The sequence below is a fragment of the Homo sapiens genome, chromosome 9 (genome assembly GCF_000001405.40).
Source record: "Homo sapiens chromosome 9, GRCh38.p14 Primary Assembly".
Classification (NCBI taxonomy): Eukaryota; Metazoa; Chordata; class Mammalia; order Primates; family Hominidae; genus Homo; species Homo sapiens.
In genome coordinates, this window is record NC_000009.12 from 117,080,003 (window position 1) to 117,103,629 (window position 23,627).

A 23,627-nucleotide genomic window follows, 5' to 3' on the forward strand; every position below is an offset into this window, starting at 1 on the left:
AGAGTGACTTACCAAGGTTCACACCGCGAGGACACATAACTATGTGTGTCTGGCTCCAAAGACCACAAATTAAACACTGCACATTAAACTACCTCCAGCAAATCCACCCACCTCAAATCCCTTTCAGGAACAGGCAGAGTATAAATAATAAACAGAAGGGTAAATACATGCATAATATATAACATTGTGATTCACCTACATATTTCTTTTTTAAATGAGTTGATTTGTTTGTCCTTAAAAGTAATTATTGTGGTTTGTAAATTCTGCCCTCCTTCAAAAACTCATGCTTCATTCACACTTATCTGGCTGTATAATATTCTCTCAAGTGGATGCATCATCATTTACTTAGCCATCCTCCTATTGTTGGACATTTGGGCTCATTCTAATTTTTCAGTATTAGAGATTATGCTACAATGACTATGTTTAGGTTTAGCACTTCAAGAAAAATGTACAGTGTCACAGAAAAAATATGGTAATATAATGCCGAGTGAAAAAAAACAGGAGTGCAAATGTGTGAAGATTATGGTTGCAAGGATAAGAAAGAGTGTGCAGGAAATGGGGATGGGGAAAAAATGAAATGAGCTCTCGAAGGTTTTCATTTATTTCTATTTTTCTATGTCCCTTTAGTAGAATTATTACATTATTTTACATTGGTTGAAGAAAAGGTAAAAACAATGAGCATACCACCACCAATAAGGTTGAAACAGCTCAGGTCCACAGATATCCTTAGAGCAGAGAGATGAGCTTAGGAATCAGTGGTCTTGACTTCTTCCACAGACAGAAGCCTAGGAAGGAGCTTCCTAAGGGCTGGAGTCATGTCTTGCTAACCCCTGACACCCCAGAGAACCACACTGTTCCTAGAATCTACAATGTGTATTAAATGAATAAAAGCATAAAATTTCAGAGCTTTAAGAGGCCTCTGATGCAATTTCTTCAAACATCACACCCAAATGTAATGGATAGAGAGCCAAGGGGACTTTCCCAAAGCTCTCCAGCATTTTAGCTCCTGAACCAGAGTAGAGGCCACTTTTTCTAAAGTCTACTCCAATTAGAAAAGGCATATGGCAAATTTGCCCAATGGGAGCTGTGGAAGAAAAATCCTTCGCCAGTGAAACACAGAATGGGTTTGACTGAGTGACTTGGGGTACTGCACATTGTTATGCATGCTGAATGCCTTGCATTGTTAGTTACAAATCTCCCCTGAATCCACTTGTCCTGCAGTCTCTCAGCTGTTCTCATGACAAATGCCCCTGGGCTGTGGCATCTGTTTTCTTCACGTGGAGCACTAGTTTTATTTGCACCAAAGATGTTGAGGGAAGGACATGTTCTACCCAGAATCCATAAATAAGAAACATACCCTCAGCCCCTTCACTTTCCAGTCTACACCCTCTCCTACAACAGTTTCCTACTGTCATGCCTTTATTTACCTCCAGGTAGGAGGCAGAATTTTAAAATAGCCTCCAACATTCCCACCCCCTGCACACTGTCTGTATACTCCCCTTAATGTGGGTGCCACTGTGACTATGATAGGATATCACTCCATAATTAGATTACATTATATGACAAGGGTGAAAGGATTTTTCAAATGTACTAAAGGTCTCAAATAAGTTGACAATGAGTTTATCAGAAAGAAGTTCATCTTGGGTAGGCCTGGCTGAATCAAGTGAGCCCTTAAAAGAGAATCGGGCCTTGAAGGAGGGGAGTCAAAGTGTGATGATCTCCTGCTGGCCTTGAATAAACATGTTGTGAACCGCCTACAGGGGAGACATGTGGCAAGGGCTTCAGAGCGGCCTCTAAAATCTGAGAACGGTCCCTGCTGACAGCTGGCAGGAAAACAGGCACATCACTCATACAGCTACAAGGAAATGAATTCTGCCAACAACCACATAAGCTTGGAAGAGGATTCTACATGTCAGCTGCAATGGCAGTCCACTGACCCCTTGACTTCAGCCTCTTACATGATCTTGAGTAAAGAACCCAGTTATGCCATGACTGGACTTTCACCTACAAAACTGGGAGTTAATAAATGCATGTTCTTTGAAGCTGCTATGTTTCTGTCAACTGGTTACTCATAGAAACTAATACACGACCACAGAGTGCTGACATCCACACTCTCCCCTCAACTAGAACACTCCTGAGCTCAGATCTGGTTGGCAAATGTCCCCATCTGGATGGCTCACAGGCACCTCAAAGGCAGCAGCTCCAAAATCCAACTAGTCTCTTTCTCTCCTGAACACTTACCCTTCCTTCCTTGCCTGGCTGTGTGATTCTCCCAGTCCCTATGCTGGAAACCAATGCTCACTTTCAGCAATCTTCAGTGGCTCACCTTCTTGGAGTCAGTCAGTCATTGGGTTCCTCTAACTGTATTTTTAACATGTTCCTGTATCTAAACCTTCCCATGCTCACCCAGAGTGTTCCCATTCTACCCCAATAACCTCCTAACTAGTCTCCCTACCTTCAGTCTCACTCTCTTCCAGTTCTTTCTCTTCTGTAGAAAGTGTGATCTTCCTAAAACAGAAATGAAATAATAGATCCCTTCCTTCAACAGTAAATGCCTTCCTGGCCGAGGCAGGCAGATCACCTGAGGTCAGGAATTCAAGACCAGCCTGGCCAACATGGTGAAACCCCATCCCTACTAAAAACACAAAAAATTAGCTGGGCATGGTGGCACATGCCTGTGGTTCCAGCTACTCGGGAGGCTGAGGCACGAGAATCACTTGAACCTGAGAGGCAGAGGTTGCAGTGAGCTGAGATTGTGCCACTGCACTCTATCCTGGGTGACAGAGTGAGACTCTCTCAAAAAACAAAACAAAGCAAACAAAAAACACCCTTCATAGACTCGTCATTTCATGGAGGTTCAAGTGCAGGCTCTTTCCTGCTCACACAGACATGCCATTTTTTAGAGCTTGGCCACCTCTCGTCCATATTTCAGGTATAAGCTATAATATTGGCTTCTTAAAGGTATAGTTCATGAGTCTCCTGATTACATTAGTTCCTCTTTTCTTTTCATCAGAGGCAGTCCTCACAGTTTGGAATAATATATTTATTCATGTGTCTATTTGTGAAATACACTCTCCCTTCCCTTTTTCCTCTGGCATGACTAGAAATTTCATAAGGAAATCCATCCTATTGGTCTATTTCCCACCATATTCCTGGTCTTCAGCAAAGAGTCTCAGTGGAATTAGATATTCAGTAAACATTAGTTGATTATGCAAATAAAAAAAAATGAATGAACTTGGCATTCAAAGCGTTTCTCAATCTGGCTAAATTTATCCTTCCCAGACTTTTTCTCACTGTCTTCCTTCACATACCTTATATTTTAATAACGCATGACACTATTTAACCATCACAAAAACCCTGTGAGATAGGATTATCATTTCCAATTTTGAGAGGAGGAAATCCAGGCCTGGGAATGTACATTTACTTGCCCAAAATCTCCCAAACTGACAGTCAGGATTAAATAAGGTTATGCATGCAAGCATCTCACACAGCTGGTGACATACAGAGGGTGCCCATGACCAGTGGCATGGTCTGTTTATCTGGAAAAGAGTTTTTCAGGGGTAAGAGAACACTGGCCGTCTCACAGCGTTGGGAAGAAAGGGGATGACAGAGTATTCTTGCTTGGGGCGGGAAGCAAAGAGTCACAGTCTCTCATTCTAAGGAAAGGCGGGTGGGGGAATCCTGCTGAGCCTAGTTGAAAAACAAGAAAGCAAGAGAGACTGATTATTCCTTCTCGCTAGTGTAAGCAACTAAAATGACATGTTTGCTTTATCGCCTTTGGTCTCCCATTTGATTCCTGACAGCCATCTCCCTCCCTTCGATGGCGGGCTGTCAGGTGCTGAGCTGGCTGGCATTGCACAGGAAGAGGAGTACAGAGAACAATTTAAACAATATTTCAGGGACCATCATGGGCTGGAGGAGGGAGTTTTTATAGTTAGCTGGCTTTCTTTCTGCATTCAAGGAACCCTCATTTGCCAAGACTGCTTGACGTTTCTGTGGGTTTGGGTAGAAGTAGTCCAGAAGGGATCTTTAAGAAAAAAAAAAAAAAAAGCCAATGTCTATTTTCTTTGAGGTTTGAAGGAAGGGAGAGAATAGAGACAGATAGGAGCTTTTTAAGCCCATAACAATTTCTGAATACATAATTTTCTCTTCTCTAATGTCTCGTTAAATAGGGCCAAATGCAGATGTAGATCAAAGCTAGGTTTCTGTATTTTACTGCATTTTACTGTGCTTGCAAGTAAAGGGAATCCAAACTCCCAGTTTCTCTGTCCGTGAGAGAAACTAGAATCTCTCCAGAAAGCCTGTATAAACTACCAGAACCTTCTGGAGGAAGGAGTCCACTCCCACAAACCACAAACAGCTGAACATTTGAGCAAGAGTTACGGTAAGCAAAAATGAGCAAAAACCTACAAAGTTCTCTTAGGGGACAGTTCTGGGGGATTGTGACCATGAACAGTCTTTGGAGCCAACCGAAACCCAATTCAAGCCACAGCTACGCAACTTATTGGTTCCATTATCTTGAAGAAGCTACTCTGTTTAGTTTCAGTTTTGTTCTTTTAAATAGACACAAGGACAACAATTGATTGCTAGGAAGATTAATGAATGTGCAATAGACCTGATACAAAAGTGACACTTAATACATAGTTGCTATAAGTAGTTATTCCCCTTATAATGGTTATCTAAGTTCCAGGCTTGGGAAATGGGGGGATACACTCCATAGGGGCCCAAAGCCAGGATGGGAATTGGAATGTGTTGTTGGCTGATATATCAAGGAAGCTTGAGAGTGGTGGTTCTCGATGCTGGCTAATATTAAATGATTAGAATCTGAAAAGGATTTCATACTTATATCCAGACTTTTGGCCAGACAGTCCTATGAAATGGGTTGATTCTTGGAATTGGCATTTTAAAAAGTGATTCTGAGATTTATTTAGGCTAAAGAACTACCCAGCCCTGACAGCTCTTCTTCCCACACAGCCTAGGACACCTGCCTTGATCTAGGTCCTAGAACTCACGATTCTCTCAAGTAGGAAGCACCAGAGTGCCCAGCCTCCTATGCAGGCCCTAAATATTCAGCTTCTCCAGCTGACCTTGTTGTCTTCTGTTTCTGAAAAGGAATCCTCTTCCTTGGGCCTTGGATGTTGTAGTTTGCTTTGTGCCTGCCCTCCATGCCCCCCACAACCCTTCATCATCTAGTGCATCATCCTCGGGGAAGATTCTGGATTGCTTAGACTATTTCTAGAAAATGGTCTTTGAATCCTAGCCTGTGGCTAAGTTCTTACTTCTTACTGACAGTTCTCCCCAGTGGTGTGCTGGTAATTGTTTAACAATGGGCTCTCCCAGCAAGAGCAAGCAGCTCTTTTAAAATATTTTAAGTATTTTCCAGTTTCCATAGTTTGAATCTTTCTCCTATGGCTGATTACAAGCTCCCAATGTGGCATCACTCACAGCAGAGTTGGGAAGAGATGAGTACAATAGGCTCTCGATAAACTGGGATGGGCTGGTCCCTGCACAGCACTGGAAGTCATCCTTGTCATACGTTTTCCTACCTGACCAAATACCAGGCCCCCTTTGTTGGTGGTGCCCTGGGACGGCTGGTCCTACGGATGCTGCCTTTTGTCCTCCATACTGAACTAACTTTTCAGTGCCTGAGCTGGTTCTGACCACGACTATTTCTGGTCCCAGCCCCTCCCAGGCTACCTTTCCCCAACATCTCAGGGGTTACAGAGCTGATACCAGGAAGTTCTCAGGGATATGATCAGGTTTGCTGTATCAGACACAGACATGGGTATCCTCTTCCTGTCTCTTTTTGAGTATATACCTTGTGTCAGGCACTGTTGTATGCACTTTACATGATTTATCTCATTCATCCTTATAATGGCCTGACCAGATTTTGAAATCAAATAGCTTAAATACAAATTCAAGCTTCCCTTAACTCATGGCAGCCTCAGGAAAGTGAACCCTCTCAATTCTTAGTTTCTTCATCTGTAAAATGGAGAGAAGAATAATCCCTTCTCCTGGTATTGTTTAGAATAATATGAAATCATGCATTTAGACAGGACAGAACAGCATAGAGATAATTCAATAAAACTAATACAGTTTCTTCTGTTCTTTTCCTCTATCTCCCTTCTTGTTGAACCCATTTCTATTATGGACCCTAGAATGGTTTTATTGTGAACTCAGAGAGGGTCATATTCTACCTTGCTGGTCTACAGATAGGAAACTGAGGCCCAAAGCCTTGCTCAAAGCCTCTTAACCAAACAAGAGACACCTAGGATTAAAACTCAAGTCTTGGCCGGGTGCGGTGGCTCACGCCTGTAATCCCAGCACTTTGGGAAGCCGAGGCAGGCGGATCACAAGGTCATGAAATCGAGACCATCCTGGCTAACATGGTGAAACCCCATCTCTACTAAAAATACAAAAAATTAGCCAAACATGGTGGCACGTGCCTGTAGTCCCAGCTACTTGGGAGGCTGAGGCAGGAGAATCGCTTGAACACAGGAGGTGGAGGTTGCAGTGAGCTGAGATCGTACCATTGCACTCCAGCTTGGGCAACAAGAGCAAAACTCCATCTCAAAAACAAACAAACAAAAACAAAACACCCAAGTCTTAGGACTTCCAGTGATTTCATGACATCCTCTTGCTTGGCTCTTCCTCCTCCTGTCCCTCACCCAGCGCTTTCTCCCCTGGCTTTCCACCCTGTCTTCACTTCTCCCGGCTTTCCCTGTACCCATGTCCAGGCCCTGTAATAACCAGATAAACCCACCCCATGAAGGCGCTGATGCATTCACCTGTGGGTCCTCTAGCTAACCCTTTTTCTTGAGCCTCTAGTCATGTCTTCAGTGGGAATCCCTGCAGGGTAGGGAGTAGCAGGCTGATCTGCCCCATATCTTGGACACCATTTCCTCTCCTTAAAGCCTAGCCCTCTCTCCCATGTTACTCTGGCTACAATGACTTAGAGGCTGATAGAATACTGCTTGATCTGTCTTCAGTGTTTACTCTGTTCTGAGTAGCAGGTCCTGGGGGCGTTCTCTGCAGGTTGGCAAAGGGCAGCCAGTAGATCTGCCCATGAGCAAGGCTACCTAAATTTAGGCAAGAAGCAGAGGATGGTGACGTGAAAAGCTGCATCACAATATCCCCAAGGGGCTAGGCCTACAAAATTCACATTTTCAAGAAAAATGTTTATTGTTTTTTTCTTTTCCTTTTTCATTTTTTTCTTTTTGTTTGTTTGTTTGTTTGTTTGTTTGTTTTTTGAGACAGGGTCTCACTCTGATGCCCAGTCTTTAGTGCAGAGGTGCAATCATGGCTCACTGCAGCCTTGACCTCCAGAGCTCAAGCAATCCTCCAGCCTCAGCCTCCTGAGTAGCTGAAATTAAAGGCACATGCCACTACATCTGGCTAATTTTTTTGTAGAGATGGGGTTTCGCCATGTTGCCCAGGCTGGTCCGGAACTCCCAGGCTTAAGTAATCCACCCACCCTGGCCTCCCAAAGTACCGAGATTACAGGAGTGAGCCACTGCGCCTGGTCACTATTGTTTTTCTAGAAGGCAGATTAATTTTCAAGCTGGTACATTAGAAAGAGGACCTGGAGCCTGTGTGGCTCAGGCACTGATGTGCTGTAACTGGCTAGCAATGAAACAATTGCATGGTGGATGCACTCGGCTAAGCATTTCCTCTGCTTATGTTATCTCATTTAATCCTCATAACAAGCCCAAAGGAGAACAGAAGGACAACTGCTACACTTATCCTCCTTTACCCAAGAGAAACTGAGGTCAGAGAACAAATGTGTCTTGCCTTAGGTTCTGCAATGCTAGGAAATGGCAGAGCAAAGATCTGAACCCATGTCTACTGATTCCAGTGCTTATGTACAACCTAGAAGCCCCATTATTTTCTGGGTATATTACTGGAAATAATTTCAACCTGACAAAGTTGCAAAGATAAGAAGAGTACAAAGAATGCCTATCTATCTTTGGCCTAGCTTCACCTGTTGTTAACATTTTGCCCCATTTGATTTGTCATTTGAGGAGATGACATTTTTAACCTTGAGGAAAATGTTTCCCTTCTCTGAGCCTTGGTTTTTATGTGCATAAAATGGAAGACTGAATGGATTACCTTTAGAGTGAAACGGAACCTTGTTGCTTGATGAGAAGTGATGGATAAAGGATGAGGTAAGCCCTTGGTCAGTGGTCAAGGCACAGTTGCTGCCTCTTTCTCCGGCCTCATTTTCCATCATTCCTGCACATGAATTTGGGCTCTACTCAGTTCTGGCATCTCTCCTCCACCCCCTTCCCCAGTGTACCACGTACCATCCGCCCTCACACCTTGGCAGGTACTCTTCCACAGATGCTCAGCTTTCACTTCATCCCATTTTCATTTCCTGGAGTCTCTGATCCATTTTGGGACTCATGGCTTATATTTCATAACAGGAGGCTTCAGTTCCCAAAGGCCTCCTCTGCAGATATGACTTGAACTTTTCCTCACCTATCCTTTTCCTCGAAAACAGGATTAAACTGTGTGTGTTGGAGGTGGGAGGAGAATCATAAAGAAAAGCCATACATCCACATACCTTAGTACGAAGTTTTGCTTATGGATTCAGTGGTTCTTAGTTACAGAAAATCCCAGCTTAGGAATTGCCAAATTAAAACAAGCAACAAAAACAAAGAAATAAGACAACCAGTAGCATTCATGCTCTGGTTCTCTCTGCTGGAGAACTAAGCAGCAAAGCTTAGAGGAAAGTACCTGAGATTGGGGATCAGAAAACCTGGATTTCTATAACTGGCTGAGCAACCTGCAGATGAGAAAAGCGAGGTCCAGAGAGGGAGACAGATGCACCCAAACCCATACAGCACAGAGCTGGGCTGGGAGGTTCATGCTGGGTGCCTGCACTGCTGAAATGATCCAGCAGCTATAACAGCTCCGTCTCCTGCTCAGCATTGTGCCCAGGGCTGGGCAAACCACCTGCACTTCTCATCTGGACTTTCAGCTGTACAGAAGCTTATCCTGATTAGCAACGCTTCCCTGTGTGAGTTTGCACACTCCTTGCCTCCGGAGACTGTAACCACTGTGAGGTTCGGTGCTGAGGCTCCATTTTCTCACTGCCCAGCAGCATGGTTATTAGGGTTGCTTATTCCACACATACAGGCTAAACTACAACGGGGCTCAGTCTTGATGACATATGATGTAAATATCCTTGTATGACAATAAGAAAGTTGAGGTCCCGAGGGAGCACAGGCTTGCCAAGGTCACTAAGCTAGTTAATGGTGAGGTGTGGACTTGAGCACACATCTCCTGACTCTGAGTCCAACATTCTTTGCTCTATGGAGTACTATCTCCGATGAATATATGTTAAATTCTTCCCACTAGTAACCTACTACATTAGCTAGTTTATTACTTAATTCTGTAAAATGCCATCAGAATTGGCACACTTAAAACAATGATATACTGGAGGGTTATTTACTTGATCAAACATAGAATGCCTTGCATGACAAATAGACTCTTTTATTTATTTTTTGTGTTTTTTTCCCCATTCTTTATTATTTTTTTTCATAGGTTATTGGGGTACAGGTGGTATTTGGTTACATGAATAAGTTCTTTAGTGGTGATTTCTGAGATTTTGGTTCACCCATCACCTGAGCAGTATACACTGTACCCTATTTGTAGTCTTTTATCCCTCGCCCCCCTCCCACCCTTCCCCCCAAGTCCCCAAAGTCCATTGTATTCTTCTTATGCCTTTGCGTCACCATAGTTTAGCTCCCACATATCAGTGAGAACATATGATGTTTGGTTTTCCATTCCTGAGATACTTCACTTAAAATAATAGTCTCCAATCTCATCCAGGTTGTGGCAAATGCCGTTAATTCATTCCTTTTTATGGTCAAGTAGTATTCCATCATGTATATATACGACAGTTTCTTTATCCATTTATTGATTGATGGGCAACAAATAGACTTAGACAGAATGATCATATATGATATGGGGTTAGACTTATTTTCACAGAGCATGGTGAATTTGTACACATGCTTCCTGGACCAGACATACAGGTGAGGGTAACATATCAATGGTTTAAGGCAGGAGTCAGCTAAGTTTCATGGGTGAAATCTGAACTAGCACCTGTTTTTAAAAATAATGTTTATTAGAAAATATTTATGTCCATTCATCTATGTGTTGCCTATGGCAGGTTTCACACAGTCTAACAACAAAGTTGAGTAGGTCCAACAGGGACTGGAAGGCCTGCAAAGCTGAAAATGTTTATTAGTTGGCCACTTACAGAAAAATGTTGCTGGCCCCTTATTTAGGAAATCCCACCAGACACGCATATCTTGGTCTCTCCACCTCTTTTTCTCCATCCCTTTGCCTTTTTCTCCTTCCTTCCACTCTCCATATTGATGGCTACAGTTCTGTGCTTTGGGAAGAAGTTCTACCTGGAAATACCAGACACCCCTCCAAAATAGTCCCATTCTCCTTACAAAGAGCCAAAATCTTAGGAAAGACAAAGTACTTCCAAACTATATGTCAAATCTCTTTCATAATGGATCCTATTGCTGAAAATGGGATTTGAGCTGATTTAGTTTGGAGCTCAGAATGTTTTGAAGGGAAAGAAAATATTAGAAGACAGAACAAATATTTCTTGGGCATCTTTGGGTAAGACCCAGCACCTTCCACTGGGTGCTTACTCTGTGAGGCAGGTGTCAACAGCTCCATTTTATGCAAAGGGAAGCACCCACAGGTTAAAATCCACCCAGGGCCACATGGAAGGGATGACAAGGTGAGGTCAGGACTCACAGCCAGGTCTGGCTGAATCTAATGCCAGTCCTATTTCTCTCATGGGATATGCTAAGAGAGAGATCTATGTACAAACACTTGTTAGAGATTTCCTCTCTCCTTCTCCTCCATGCCCCACTCCCACCACTAGCCCTCAGTGTAACCTTTTCTGCCATGCAGCCTTCTGGCCTGGTTACATCGTTCCCAGATGGCACACAGGACAGTCACACTCAAAGAACCCAGGCAGAGTGTGCTTTTCACCACCAAGGCCCTCTTGCCACTGCTGGGCATGGCCTTCCTGGTGGCCTTGCAGTAGAAAAATAGGGAGAGGTAAGGCCCCAGCTCTGCTTACCAGGAGCAGGAAAAAGAAGGGAAGAGGAGAGCAGGCCCTTTCCCAGCAGGCAGGCATAAAGCGAGACAAAACAAGAGGTGGCAGACAGAAAATCAGCCTCCATCCTGAACACCTATAAGCCAAACACTGTGCAGGTGTTTCTTTCAAACATTCACTCATCATTCATTCATTCATTCAAAATATTCACCCAGTGCCTACTATGAGCCCATCCCCCTGTGCTTGATGTTGAGGACAAAACTGGACACAAATGACAATGTGTCTATGCTCGTGAAGTTTCCAGTTCAGTGGAGGACACAAATAGTACTCAGGGAGCATATCAGTAAGTGTAAAATTATAGTGGTGACCAAGTCTACAAAGGGGGGTACAGCACAGCATCTGGTATAGAATGAGACAGGGAAATTAACTCAGGTATGGACAGCTTTGCAGAAAATATGCCATTTAAGTGGAGGTCTCACGTGATGGGGGGGCAGGTGAATGAGTCAAACGGCAGGGAAGAGCATTCCAGGAGACAAATGTTGTGAAGGCTGTGGCAGGACAGATGCAGGAGTGCTGGGGAAGAGGCCCCGGGGGAGAGGTGGAGTGGGGAGGGAAGGAGCGGACAGAGCCCTGGGGAGAGAGTCAGGGCAAGATCACTCAGGATTGCAGGTGTGTAGGGAGTTTCCATTTCATCCTGAAAACAAAAGGAAAGCATTGAAAGCTTCTAAGAGGAGAAACAACATGATCCCTACTTACATTTGTAAAGATGATCACTCTGGCTACATGATTGAGAATGGACTGGAAGACAGCAAGGGAGACTTAGCAAGAGAGGACTTTTAGCAGTTTTAAAGCAAAGGATGCAGGTGGCAGGGACTAGGATGGCAGCAGTAGAGAAGGGGAGAACTTGTTGGCAGAAGTTGAAGTTATAAAGGAGATACTCATTATTTTAATCTTCACAATGACCCTGTGAAGGAGATGTAGTGACTGCATTTTAAAGATGGGAATTTGAGAATACTGGTTCATGTCCCATGGATGAAAAGGGGCAGAGCCATGTCTGAGACTCAGGCAACTTCCCAGCCTCAACTCTTTCAGGAAGCCCTCCCACATTTAGCTGCTGTTTATTGTGTCTTTCTTCTCCCAAAGCTGGGATAATCTGAAACGCTCAGTTCAATAACTTTGTCTTCCAAAATCTTCTAACATCTGAAACAGTCTGAACTGCAGTGCAGGGCCCTTAACCAGTGCTGATCTAGTTGCTTCTGAGCACTCCTCTTAAATCTCTACTTAGAGATTGAAAAAGTGAGACTCAGAGACCAGCAGGGACTTGGCCAAGGTCACACAGAAACGTGGTGGCAAAGCCAGGACTGAAAATCACTGTTCCTGTCACACACAGATAGCCCCAAAGACTCAACTTCCTTCTGAGTACTTCAAAGATGGTAAAGTTGAATGTCTTTATCAAAGCCCACATGCCTCGAGATTTGGAAAACACAGCTCAGCTCCTATTTTTCAGATAGACCTGAAATGGTTACAGTGAATTCATATGGAGTCCCAAATGCTATTAGATGACCATTCTCAACTAGCACAGGGAACTGCCTTTCCTGGTACTTTTATCTCTTTCTTCCCCTACCTCCTTGAACTTCATCATCTCTTCTGTGTCACCGCTGGGCTGGCTCACACACCCCTGGGCAGACTGCAGGGAACTGCTGAGTCATTGCCTTTGCTAAAGAGGAGCTGAAATGGTGATGGCAGAGGAATAGGAGAGGACTGGGATGTTACAGGTCCAGGCAGGCCTGGGGGTGTAGGGAAGAAAGAACCCATCAGCCCAGCCAAAGGGGACAACAGAACCATTCTAGTGTCACAGTTAGACCCTAAAGGAGAGAAACAGGAAAGGGGAGTGGCACTGGACATGGGGGAGGTAAACAGGGTGCAAAGGAACCTGAAGCTGGAAGCCAGGTATATCCCAATAACAGGAGATTCTCAGAAATATGCCCCATGTCCCATTCACACACAAGTAAGAAGAGATCTCAGAGAAGATCCACCCGTCCACTCTCCCATGTTTCAGATTGAAAAACAGAGATCTGGATAACAAAAGAGACTTTACTAAGGTCACACAGTGAGTTGGTAGCAGATCTGAGACTCCCTTCCTGTCCCCATAGTAAATCCAATGGTCCTTCTCAGCAACTTCACTCTGCCACAATTTCTCTCCCTCCCTATCTCCACCTAAATGCCTTGCAGGTTTCAAGTAATTTTAATCTTTAGAACAACTCTCTATGCTTTCATCTTAATATCCTCATTTTACAACTTAGGGAATTGATGCACAGAGACGTTAAGTTCCATGATTAATATGACATTGCCAGTAAGTGGGGGGGCTGGGATTTGAACCCACGTAACCCACCACCAGAATCCATGCTTTTAGTACTATGCTCTGTTGCTCTTATATCACCAAGGGCTCCTGGACCTCCCTTGGCTCACCTCTGTCCTGTGCCTTTTTCCCATTAAGTCAGTGAATGCTGAAGGCACCCTAACTCCTGCCCAAACTATATGAAACAGAAAAAAACAGATCACAGCCCTTTCATGAAGAATTGCGGGACTTGCAGACTGAGACATTGGGTTCTAAGTTCATTTGCCTAGAACAAAGATGTTGCAGAACCAAATTCACTCTCTGTATTCAACAACAAAAAATTATAGCAGCTGCGGCAGCAACAACAACAACCTAACAACATCAAACACAGTATTAAGAAAGCTCTCCCTGTGATCCTGCAAAAAGCGTAGGGTAATTCATGCTCACTGAATCTAAGCATTCAATTCCTTCCATATTCTCTCAGTTCCCTTCCTTGTTGTCTCCTTTTCTTTTAGCATTTATCACCATCTAATAGATTTGTATTTTGATATAATACAAACCCCACAAGAGCAGGAATTTTAAATTGTTGTTTGGTTTGTGTCCCCACTGCCTAGAAGAGTGGCAGGCATGTAGTTGGTGCAGAACAAATATTTGTGGTATGTATCAAAGGAAGAAAGAAAGGAGGGAGAGAGGGAGGGAGGGAGGGACTAAGGGAGGGAGGGAGGGAGAAAGGGAGGAAGGGAGGAAGGGAGGGAGGGAGGAGAGGAGAGGAGAGGAGAGGAGAGGAGAGGAAAGGAAAGAGGGAAGAAGGGAGGGAGAGAGGGAGACAGGGAGGAAAGAATGAAGGGATGGAAGGAGAGAGAAAGAAAGGAGTTGCTGGGTTAAATCATTCATCTCGAGGCCTGTAGCTTGCTTTTGCTTTTCTAAGTTGAACTCCAATTTATAGGGGACATGCTCAGTGATGAATGTTTTTCCAATTATCTATAAATAGCCCAGGCCTGCTGAGGGGACCCATTGACTTCCCCAGCCCTAATTCTGACTGCTGGATTGTGTGAGGGAGAAGACCAGTCAAGAATCATCAATCGTCAACTTCTAAATCTCCAATGCAGGTTCCCGGAAGCTGAGGATTGCTTCTCAGTTTTCTGGCTAAGATCAAGTGGAGAAAGCTGAGGAGCAGGAAGGAGGGAGAGGCAGATCCCATTTTTCCAATGGCTACAGAGGCTGCAAACCCTTCCCATGTAATGTGTCAATGGAAACACTCCTCCCACGTGGGGCTTTTCAGGGAAAGATGCCAGAGGTGAGGAGATAGGAAAAACAACAGTGAGAACTGAACTGACATTAATAATGTCTGACTTATTTTGCTTTTAGCATACACCAGACACCATAAATTTTTTACATAGCTTAACCAAAATTCATCCACAACCCCATGAGGCAGTTACAAGGTACAGCTTGTAGATGAAAAACTGAGGCTTACAGAAGGCAAATAACTTGCCTAAGAGCCAAAGGAGCACACAGAAGTTATGGGGATCTGTGCTTTTGCAGTGTCCACTGTGCATGGATAGAATGCATGCAGCATGGTTTGTGAGAAAAGTTCCTCCTCCTCCTTCTCCCTACCCCAGCTACTTCTCAGCACACCTCTTTGTGGAGGTAGGAGAGAAGGACCAGTTTCCCTGCCACATGACCTGGACTTGTCACAGGACCTTCTTTTCAGTGGGTGGGTAAAGCCCATGGATGGATCTGCCCTTTATCACTGGCATGGAATCCATGTTTGTACCCCAGGAGAGTCTCTTCCAAGAATCCAGTCTCAAACTGGCTGCTTTCCCATCCTTATAGACAATCCAAGATGAAGAATCACATTCACAGGCAATTGCCTGAAATATGCTGTTTTCCTTTCAGAGCACGTTGAATCATCAGGGAACGATGGATCTTGGCCACAGGTTTTAGACCTTTGTGGAGTCCTGCTTCAGCATTTGGCCATCCCCCTACATTGAGTGCCATTGTGAGAAATAATTATCCAATACTGAATTTTATCTGTTGAAGAAACTGCCTAGAAAGGCACACGGTATCTTATTTATACATACCAAGTTGAGGACTTTACCTCTGGTCTGGTAAGTAAAATTTCCTGAACAAATGCTTGATTCTTTCCCATTAACCCTGTACATTTTATTTCTGAGTATGTTTCCCTTCACACTTTGGCTGCCGGGAATTTCTTACTTAAATTGCCAGCCTCTTCTAAGAACTACAAAACAGTATGGCAGGGATTATTCTGCATCAACCCAACCTGGGTTTGAATAATTTTCCTTATTCTTATTTTCATATTAATATGATTAGTTATTTCATTTCCTCTTTTGAAGTTTTAAAAATCTGCATAAACCAAAAACAATTCACAGTATTTTTTGAAGAATAAGGTGGGACAGAAAGCAAATAAAGAATAAGCCAGGAAAAGCATTATACTGAAGGTCACCCATATAGCCAGGGCAACAGATACTAAGCTCAGTTTTAACCAGATGGGGACCAGGTTAGAGAAGATTTAGGATTTGCTAGTGAACACAAAATCTGATTTCCAGGATTTCCTTCTACAAACTCTGGTTCTGGAACCTTCCAAGGACACTATTACCTTTGCTGCGGCGGCGACTGCGGTACTGCTCCGTGTAGAATGTCAGCTGAGTTTCATCGTCTGCCTCTGAGCCCGACGTCCCCTTGGCTCTCCCAAAGCTGATTCCTCCTGTGAGTAAGCACAGTCTATCAGTTAGTCTCCCAGGCCTCCAGAAGTTTGTGAGATTCCTCAACCATCCCAGAGATCAGCAATCCCATCCCCAGACTTTTCTCTGTAAATCCCAAGCAACCCAGGAGTCAGTGTGATAAATGGAAGGAGTTCATGCTCTGCAGTGAAGCAGATCTTGGGTCCAAGCATGACTCAGCAGCTTCTGAGCTGTGTGACCTTGAAGAGAAAACACACCTTTCTGAGCCCTGGGTTCTGTCTCTCTAAAATAGGGATAAAATTATTCACCTTGTGAGATTGCCTTGAAGATTAAAGGAGATGTAATATATAAAATACCTGGTCCGCAGTACATCCTAAACAACTGATAGCTATTGTTGCTTTTGGTGATAAGCAAACACTCTAGAAAACACTCTAGACAACTTAATTTTAACCACATTTCAATAAAGTGCAAGACGCTGGAGATACAAAGATAAATAGGACTCAGTCTTTGCCAGGCACGGGATCATAAGCTAGTCAGCAGGACAAATGGAATCCTAAGGAAGCTTAAACCTAATTCATGGCTTCTGTTTACCACTCAATGAGGTGCTAGGAATATGGGGGAGTGCAATTCATTTCAACACGGAGGGCCTGAGAAGGTTTTATGCAGGAGCGAAGATTTAAGTCAGGTCTTGAAGGATGGATGGGCCTGCACTGATAGAAAAAGGACTTCCAGCAGAGGTACCAGCTTGAGCACCCTCAGGAATGGGCCATGTGGGCAGTCAGGGGCAACATTAAGTGGAGAAATGACTGGGAAGACACACAGCGGGAGGCCTTGGGTGCCAAACGGAGGATAGGGAGCTTTACTTTTGGTTTCATGGAAGGTTCTGGAGCAAGAGTATGAATTGGCCAGCCATGGTATATACAAGGAAGAACACTCCAGTGGTACCTAGGCTGCAGGATGGGTGCCAGGCAGGGTAAGCAGCCAGGAGGCTCAGTGACCACCTAGGTGAATGGAGGTCAGGGCTTGCATGAGGGCCTGTGCAGCGAGGATGGGAGGAGGAGATGAGTGCAAAGGGTGCTTCAGAGACAAACTCAGAGGAGTGTGGAGGGAAAAGGGTAATGCATTCATATGCTGTGAACAGCTGATTGTAGAAAGGATAAAAAAGAAGGCTAAAAGCAATTATGCCACAATACTAATAGCCATTAATTCCAAAGAGAGAAATATGGGTATGTTTTATTGTTATCTTTGTGCTTTCTGCTTTTTTAATTGCCTAAAGGATTAGTAAATTATTTACTCTAGAGAAGAAATAACCAGGAGAGAGAGCCTCTGAGGATGTTGGGGGTGAGTAGATGGGCACGGGAGAATAAGGACTTTGGTATTTAAAATTGTTTCATTGATGGGGCTTCAGACATCTACAGCAATAGACTTTCTGGGAGGAGACTTAAGAATCTGGTAAAAATGGTTGTCCTGGATGGAGAATTAAGTGCCTGAAAGATGGGAACAGAGGGAGGCTACTTTTCTCTATAAACTCTTTGCATCTTTTCAATCAAGCACCATGCAAACCTATTACCTATTCAAAAATTTCAACTAAGGAAAAGAAAAACATACATTAAAGGGAAATGTTATTCAATGCACGAAAGGATTTATTATGTAATTTCCTCAGGTAGGGTATTTGAAATGGCATTCAGTATACAGAAATTCTACTTGCAGACACTTTTTCTGCAATATGGTTATTACACATTCATTCTTTCTAGCAACATTGTTGCACAATCTGCTATGTACCTAGAAGATTTGTAGACATTATTGCTGACAATCCTCATCATGATATACTCATAAGAGTGGTGTAATTAACAAACTAGATAATAAAGCAAAGATGCAAAGACATGCTTAGACATGCAAAGTTACTTGCATAGTCACACAGCAGATGACTAGGAGAGTTAAGCTTCGAGGCTAGTCTGTCCAACTCCAAATTTGGTCTCTCTGTAATATACACATTGCTTTCCTTAAAACCACTCATGAGCGAACCCTGAAAGAGCAGATCATCCTTCGAGTGTCAAGATGCTAAGTACAGCATTCAGAGCTTTGTATACAACATCTCATTCCGAATTCATACTACCCTTAGGAGAGAGGCATCATTGTGCCTACTTTACAGATGAGGCAAGTGATGCTCAGAAAAGAAAAATGATTTGCTAATAATGAGTGAAGGTGGACTTCGAAACCAGGTGGAACTAATGCCCAAGCTCAAATTTCTAGCCACTTATGATGCTGCCTCTCAGTTTAAGGCTCTGTAAAATTGAAAGATTAATATCTGCCTCCCCACACCCATCCTTCCTTAAGACGGTATGTTCTAATGAGTGGGAAAGTACAAAGGATGACAACATTTGATCTTTGTCCCAAAATGTGTCATCAGGCAAGGTCTGTCCCGGAGCCTTAGTGCACACTTCCCCAATCCCCAGCAACTAAAAGCAGGGCCTGGAGACATCAGGAGACTTCAGATTTCAGATTCTGCCAGATGCAGTTCTCCATTTAAAGGCTTAGCTTTGAAGTGGAATTGGCAGGGACCTCATGGAGATTTTGGAAGTGACTGGAGAGCAGAGGTCCCCAGAAGCCAGTAGGGCTTTTAAAATTGCCATTAAAATATTTTACTGTTAAAAAAAAAAAAAAGAAGAAGAAAGAACAAAGAAAAGAAGGGAGAAGGGCTGGGCATGATGGCTCACACCTGTAATCCCAGCACTTTGGGAGGCCAAGGCGGGCAGATTGCCTGAGTTCAGGAGTTCGAGACCAGCCTGGGCAACACGGTGAAACCCCGTCTCTACTAAAATACAAAAAATTAGCCGGGTGTGGCAGCATGTACGTGTAATCCCAGCTACTTGGAGGCTGAGGCAGGAGAATTGCTTGAACCCAGGAGGTGGAGGTTGCAGTGAGCCGAGATCAAGCCACTACACTCCAGCCTGGGTGACAGAGCGAGACTCCGTCTCCAAAAAAAAAAAAAAAAGGAGGGAGGAAGACTTTTGTTCATCTATACATAATTCTTGGCCAAAGAAAAAATGAAGGCATCTGATAAAGTCATTCTCTTATGTTCAGAAAACATCTGCCATACTCTCTGCTATGTCTGGAGCCACAGAGCAAAAAGGAGGGTCTATCCCTGTTAGGAGGCCACCCAAGACTCTTCCCACAGCCCCTTGGATGCCATAGCCACACTTTGAAACATTTCAGCAAAATTCTCACTCCCTTCCTTCCTTCCAATCTCCACTTTATCTTCCCTCCCATCCTAAACACATGACCTGTTATGGCCCTACCATGGTGAACAAATCTGGCTTACAGGAATCAGACTTTATTCTTTCCCTACTGGAGCAAGATAGACAGAGTGACAGAAAAGTCACCAGGAAATTCTAATGTAAGAAAAGCGAACACTTGCATAGTGCAGTATCTCTTCCAGGCACTATTCTAAAGCCTTTACATGGGTTGACTCATTTCATATTTACAAGAACCCTAGGAGATAGGTTACTACATTTATTCCCATTTCAGTTGGTGAGAAAATGAAGGCACGTAGAAATTAAATATTTTGTCCAGGGTCACAGCTTGTAAGTAGCAGAACCACGATTCAAATTCAGACAGTGGCGGGTAAATCTATTCCTTTTTTACAATGCTGGTTTATAATAAAATATGAACAAATACTTTGTTTAATATCCACAGCCATCCCTATAAGGACTGTATCATGAGTTTTGGTTTCATAGATGAATAACTGTCTCAGAGAGGTGATACGAGGTAGTAAGTGGGAGAAATGGGATTGAAATTTGGTCTGTCTACCTGCAAAGCTTGCTTCGTACCTAATACAACCAGGGAAAGTGTGTGTGTCTGTGCCTATGTGTGCACACACACATGCATGCATATGGATGTAGAGGGCTGGCAAATGCTTGATATGTTGACCACTAAGGATTAGCAGTTCTCTTAATTGACTCCAACACCTGGACCTGTTTTCTTGTAGGAACTCTAATCAGGCTTAGCAAGATCTTTGTGACTCTCCCATCTTTCCACATGTCCAGGCACAGTGACCACACCCCTATAACTACCATAAGGGTTTCCATAAAGGCTTTCCCTTCTGGTCAAGCCTCCATTTCCAAACTCTTCTGACCTTTATTCCCTTCTTGTAAGTACTAAAGTACCATGTGTTCAGAGTGAAAACTGAGGCTCAGAAACAATGTCTATAAACCAGATTCAATAGAAATATAATGCAAACCACATATGCCATTTTAAATGTTTCAGTAGCCCCATTAAAAGGGTAAACATAAAAGTTCAAATGAATTTCCAGAATATGTTGCATTTCACTCAGTATATTAAAATATTATCATGTTAACATGAAATTAACATAAAGTTATTACCGAAGTATTTTATATATTTTTCATAAGTCTTCAAAACCCAGTATGCATTTTGTGCTTACAGCACATCACAATACAGACAAGCCACATTTCAGGTGCTCACCATATTGGAGAACACAGTTCTAGACATATTTGTACAACAAATATTACTGAGCAAATTAAGGGCAAGGATCTGAGTACAAGATGAAGATGAATAAGCCACGACCTCCACTAAAATGTTCAATCTTAAAAAACAATTTGGATTTTTGACCTGGATGAAAAAATGGCACAGCTGGGATTCTGTTAAACAACAGTATCTATGGTCCCTACTCTCAAGGCACTTGGAGTCTAGTTAGTTTCTATATTTGTTTATCCATGAGCCAAGGGAAGTAATGGACTTCAGTAGAAATAAATTAAGTTATTGGAGTCAGACATGAGTTCTAGTTCTTTGATTCACTTATTAGCATATGGCCTTGGACAGGGCATTTGATCTCTCTGATCTCATCTTTAAAAGGGGTACAAGAACTCAGCTCAATGGTTATTATTGGGAAAAGAGTATGCTGCATGTAAACATTCTGCACAAAGACCAAGAAGTGAGAGTCAGGGCACATTCCTCAATTACTTGATGCTTGTCTGTGTTTAACAGAATGAAAGGGAGGAAGTGCTGCTGGTTTGAGGTGCCCCCTGACTCTCCTGCCTGCTGTGACATCCTGGGGAGGTGGCAGCCACCCAAGGCATACAGCCTCTGAGTATCCATATAATCTGAAGGGGCCACAGGCCAATTACAGTCTGACTTGGAGGTGATTCAGATGGCTAGAAAAGGGCCCCCTCTGTTAGCATTTTAATATAAAATTGGTGATTTAGTGCAATAAAATGCAGCCATTAGTTACACAGGGCTGCTCCCGTACTTCCATTTAGGGGCTGAGAGAAAGTGAGAATGGTTAGAGACTGGCAAGAAAAAAGAAGAGGTAATCTATCTGCTGGAACCAGCAGCCTTTCTATCCTTGCTGCTTGGGCCCTTGGTTCTTCTGGTACCACAGAGCCTGAGGTGGAGCCATTAAGAAGGTGAGCTAAACACATGCCACGGTGTGATAAGTACTGCCCCAGGTACCTTACATGCAATATCCCTCCTACACCTCACAAGGGGTCTGAGATGTAGGAGTTAATCCCATTTTATTGGTGGACAAATAAATATTCAGAATCTCACTGTTGCTTAATCAAAATTACACAAATGGCAGAGCCCAAATTTGAATCTGATGTATGTCTGATTCAAAAATGCTCTGTTCTCATAAAAACATGCTTACTGTCATTAGTCAATAGAAAATGCAAACCGAAACCATAGATATCACATCATACCCACTAGGTGGGTGATAATCAAAATAATGGAAAATAGCAGATGTTGGTGAGGTTGTGGAGACGTTGGAACCCTCATACATTGCTGCTGGATATGCAAAATGGTGCAGCCATTGTGAAAACCACTTTGGTGGTTCCTTAAGAAGTTAAACACAGAATTACCACATGATGCAGGATTTCCACTCCTAGGTATATACCTCCAGCCCCAAAACTGAAGATAGGGCATTCAAACAAGTATCTGTACATGAATGTTCATAGCAGCACTATTTACAAGTCAAAGGGTACAAACGACCCAAATGTCAATCACCTGATGAATGGATGAACAAAATGTGGTATATAGACATAGAATATTATTCAGCCATAAAAAGGAATACTGATACATGCTACAATGTGGATGAATGTTGCAAATATTTTGCTAAGTGAAAGAAGCCAGACATTAAAGGCAACATAGTATATTCATATTCTATTTATATGAAATATCCAGGATAGCTAAATCCGTAGAGATGGAAGTAGACTAGTGGTGGCTAGGGCTGGACAGAGGAAAATGGGAATGAGGGGTAACAGTTAATAACTATTGAGTTTCTTTTAGGGGTGGTAGAAATGTCTTGGAACTGGACAGAGGTGATGGCTGTACAACCTTGTGAATGTACTAAATGCCACTGAATTATACACTTTAAAATGATTTATTATTATTATTATTGAGACAGAGTTTCACTCTTGTTACCCAGGCTGGGGTACAGTGGCATGATCTCAGCTCACTTCAACCTCTGCCTCCTGGGTTCAAGCGATTCTCCTGCCTTAGCTTCCTGAGTAGCTGGGATTACAGGTGTGCATCACCATGCCCAGCTAATTTTGTATTTTTAATAGAGACGGGGATTCACCGTGTTGGCCAGGCTGGTCTTGAACTCCTGACCTTAGATGATCTGCCTGCCTTGGCCTCCCAAAGTGCTGGGATTACAGGCGTGAGTAACCGTGCCTGGCCAATTAATGATTAATTTTATCTTATGTGAATTATATCTCACAAAACGAAAAAAAGAAACCAACTTTTTTTTTTTGTAATATCACTAAATTAGTGATAGAACCATAAATGGGGAATGTGAGAGCTGTGAGAGAGACAGGGAGAGGGAAAGTTGGGGCACAGAGTGGAAGAATTACATAGCCACCTTGAAAGAATCAAGAGCTCAGACCTCTGGAGTCCTAGCCCAGTGTGTGGGGATGCAGAAGGTGACCATTCAGTTTGTCCTAGACCACATGTTCACCTAAAATCATCACAATACTCACTCATTTGTTTATGCATTCTTTAAACAATCATTTACTCAGGGCCCATGCTGTCCCAAACACTGTCTAGGTACTGAAGATAAAGCCTCAATAAAACAGACAAAAATTACTGATTTATTGGAGTTTGCTTTCTAGTAGGAAAGCATTTTAGATATTCTTGGCATACCATTCTAGGGCTTAGCAAAGCCTTCTACATGAGAATTCTTACCTCAATTTTGCTGCTAAATAAATGAAGATATTCAGAGATATTTAAAGCCTTCCCCTAGATGGCATAGATATTTGGTGGTAAACTAGGAATTTGACCCCAGGTGTGCTCTGGGGCTAATCAGGGCATCTGAACAACATGAAAGTCATGTTATGGAAAAGTATGGAGCAAGATGATACAAGGTCTTTCCTGGGCCTATGAGAGTTAACTCACTGCTCTTCTTTTGCAATCTACCTTCTATTCTTGGGCTGCCCTGTCCACAGACCTGCTCTGCCAGCCTCGACAGGCCCAGCCCTCCACACTCCAT

General features: G+C 43.2%; 1 protein-coding gene across 3 annotated transcripts in view, besides 1 other annotated feature; it reads right to left on the minus strand.

Moving 5' to 3' along the window:
- Positions 1-23,627, minus strand: part of ASTN2 (astrotactin 2) — a 991,946-nt gene that overhangs the window by 656,891 nt on the left and 311,428 nt on the right. For all 3 annotated transcript variants that reach the window (NM_014010.5, NM_001365069.1, NM_001365068.1), the window contains one exon: positions 16,042-16,149. In NM_014010.5, coding sequence (NP_054729.3) covers positions 16,042-16,149 — 108 coding nt within the window. The remainder of the gene's footprint in view (positions 1-16,041; positions 16,150-23,627) is intronic.
- Positions 15,501-16,700: an enhancer, noted in NCBI's record as "MED14-independent group 3 enhancer chr9:119857782-119858981 (GRCh37/hg19 assembly coordinates)". NCBI's record gives its function as "activates an origin of replication core promoter dependent on BRD2, BRD4, P300/CBP and CDK7 cofactors, and independent of MED14, by STARR-seq in HCT116 cells {active_cell/tissue: HCT116}" and the evidence as "EXISTENCE:reporter gene assay evidence [ECO:0000049][PMID:35650434]".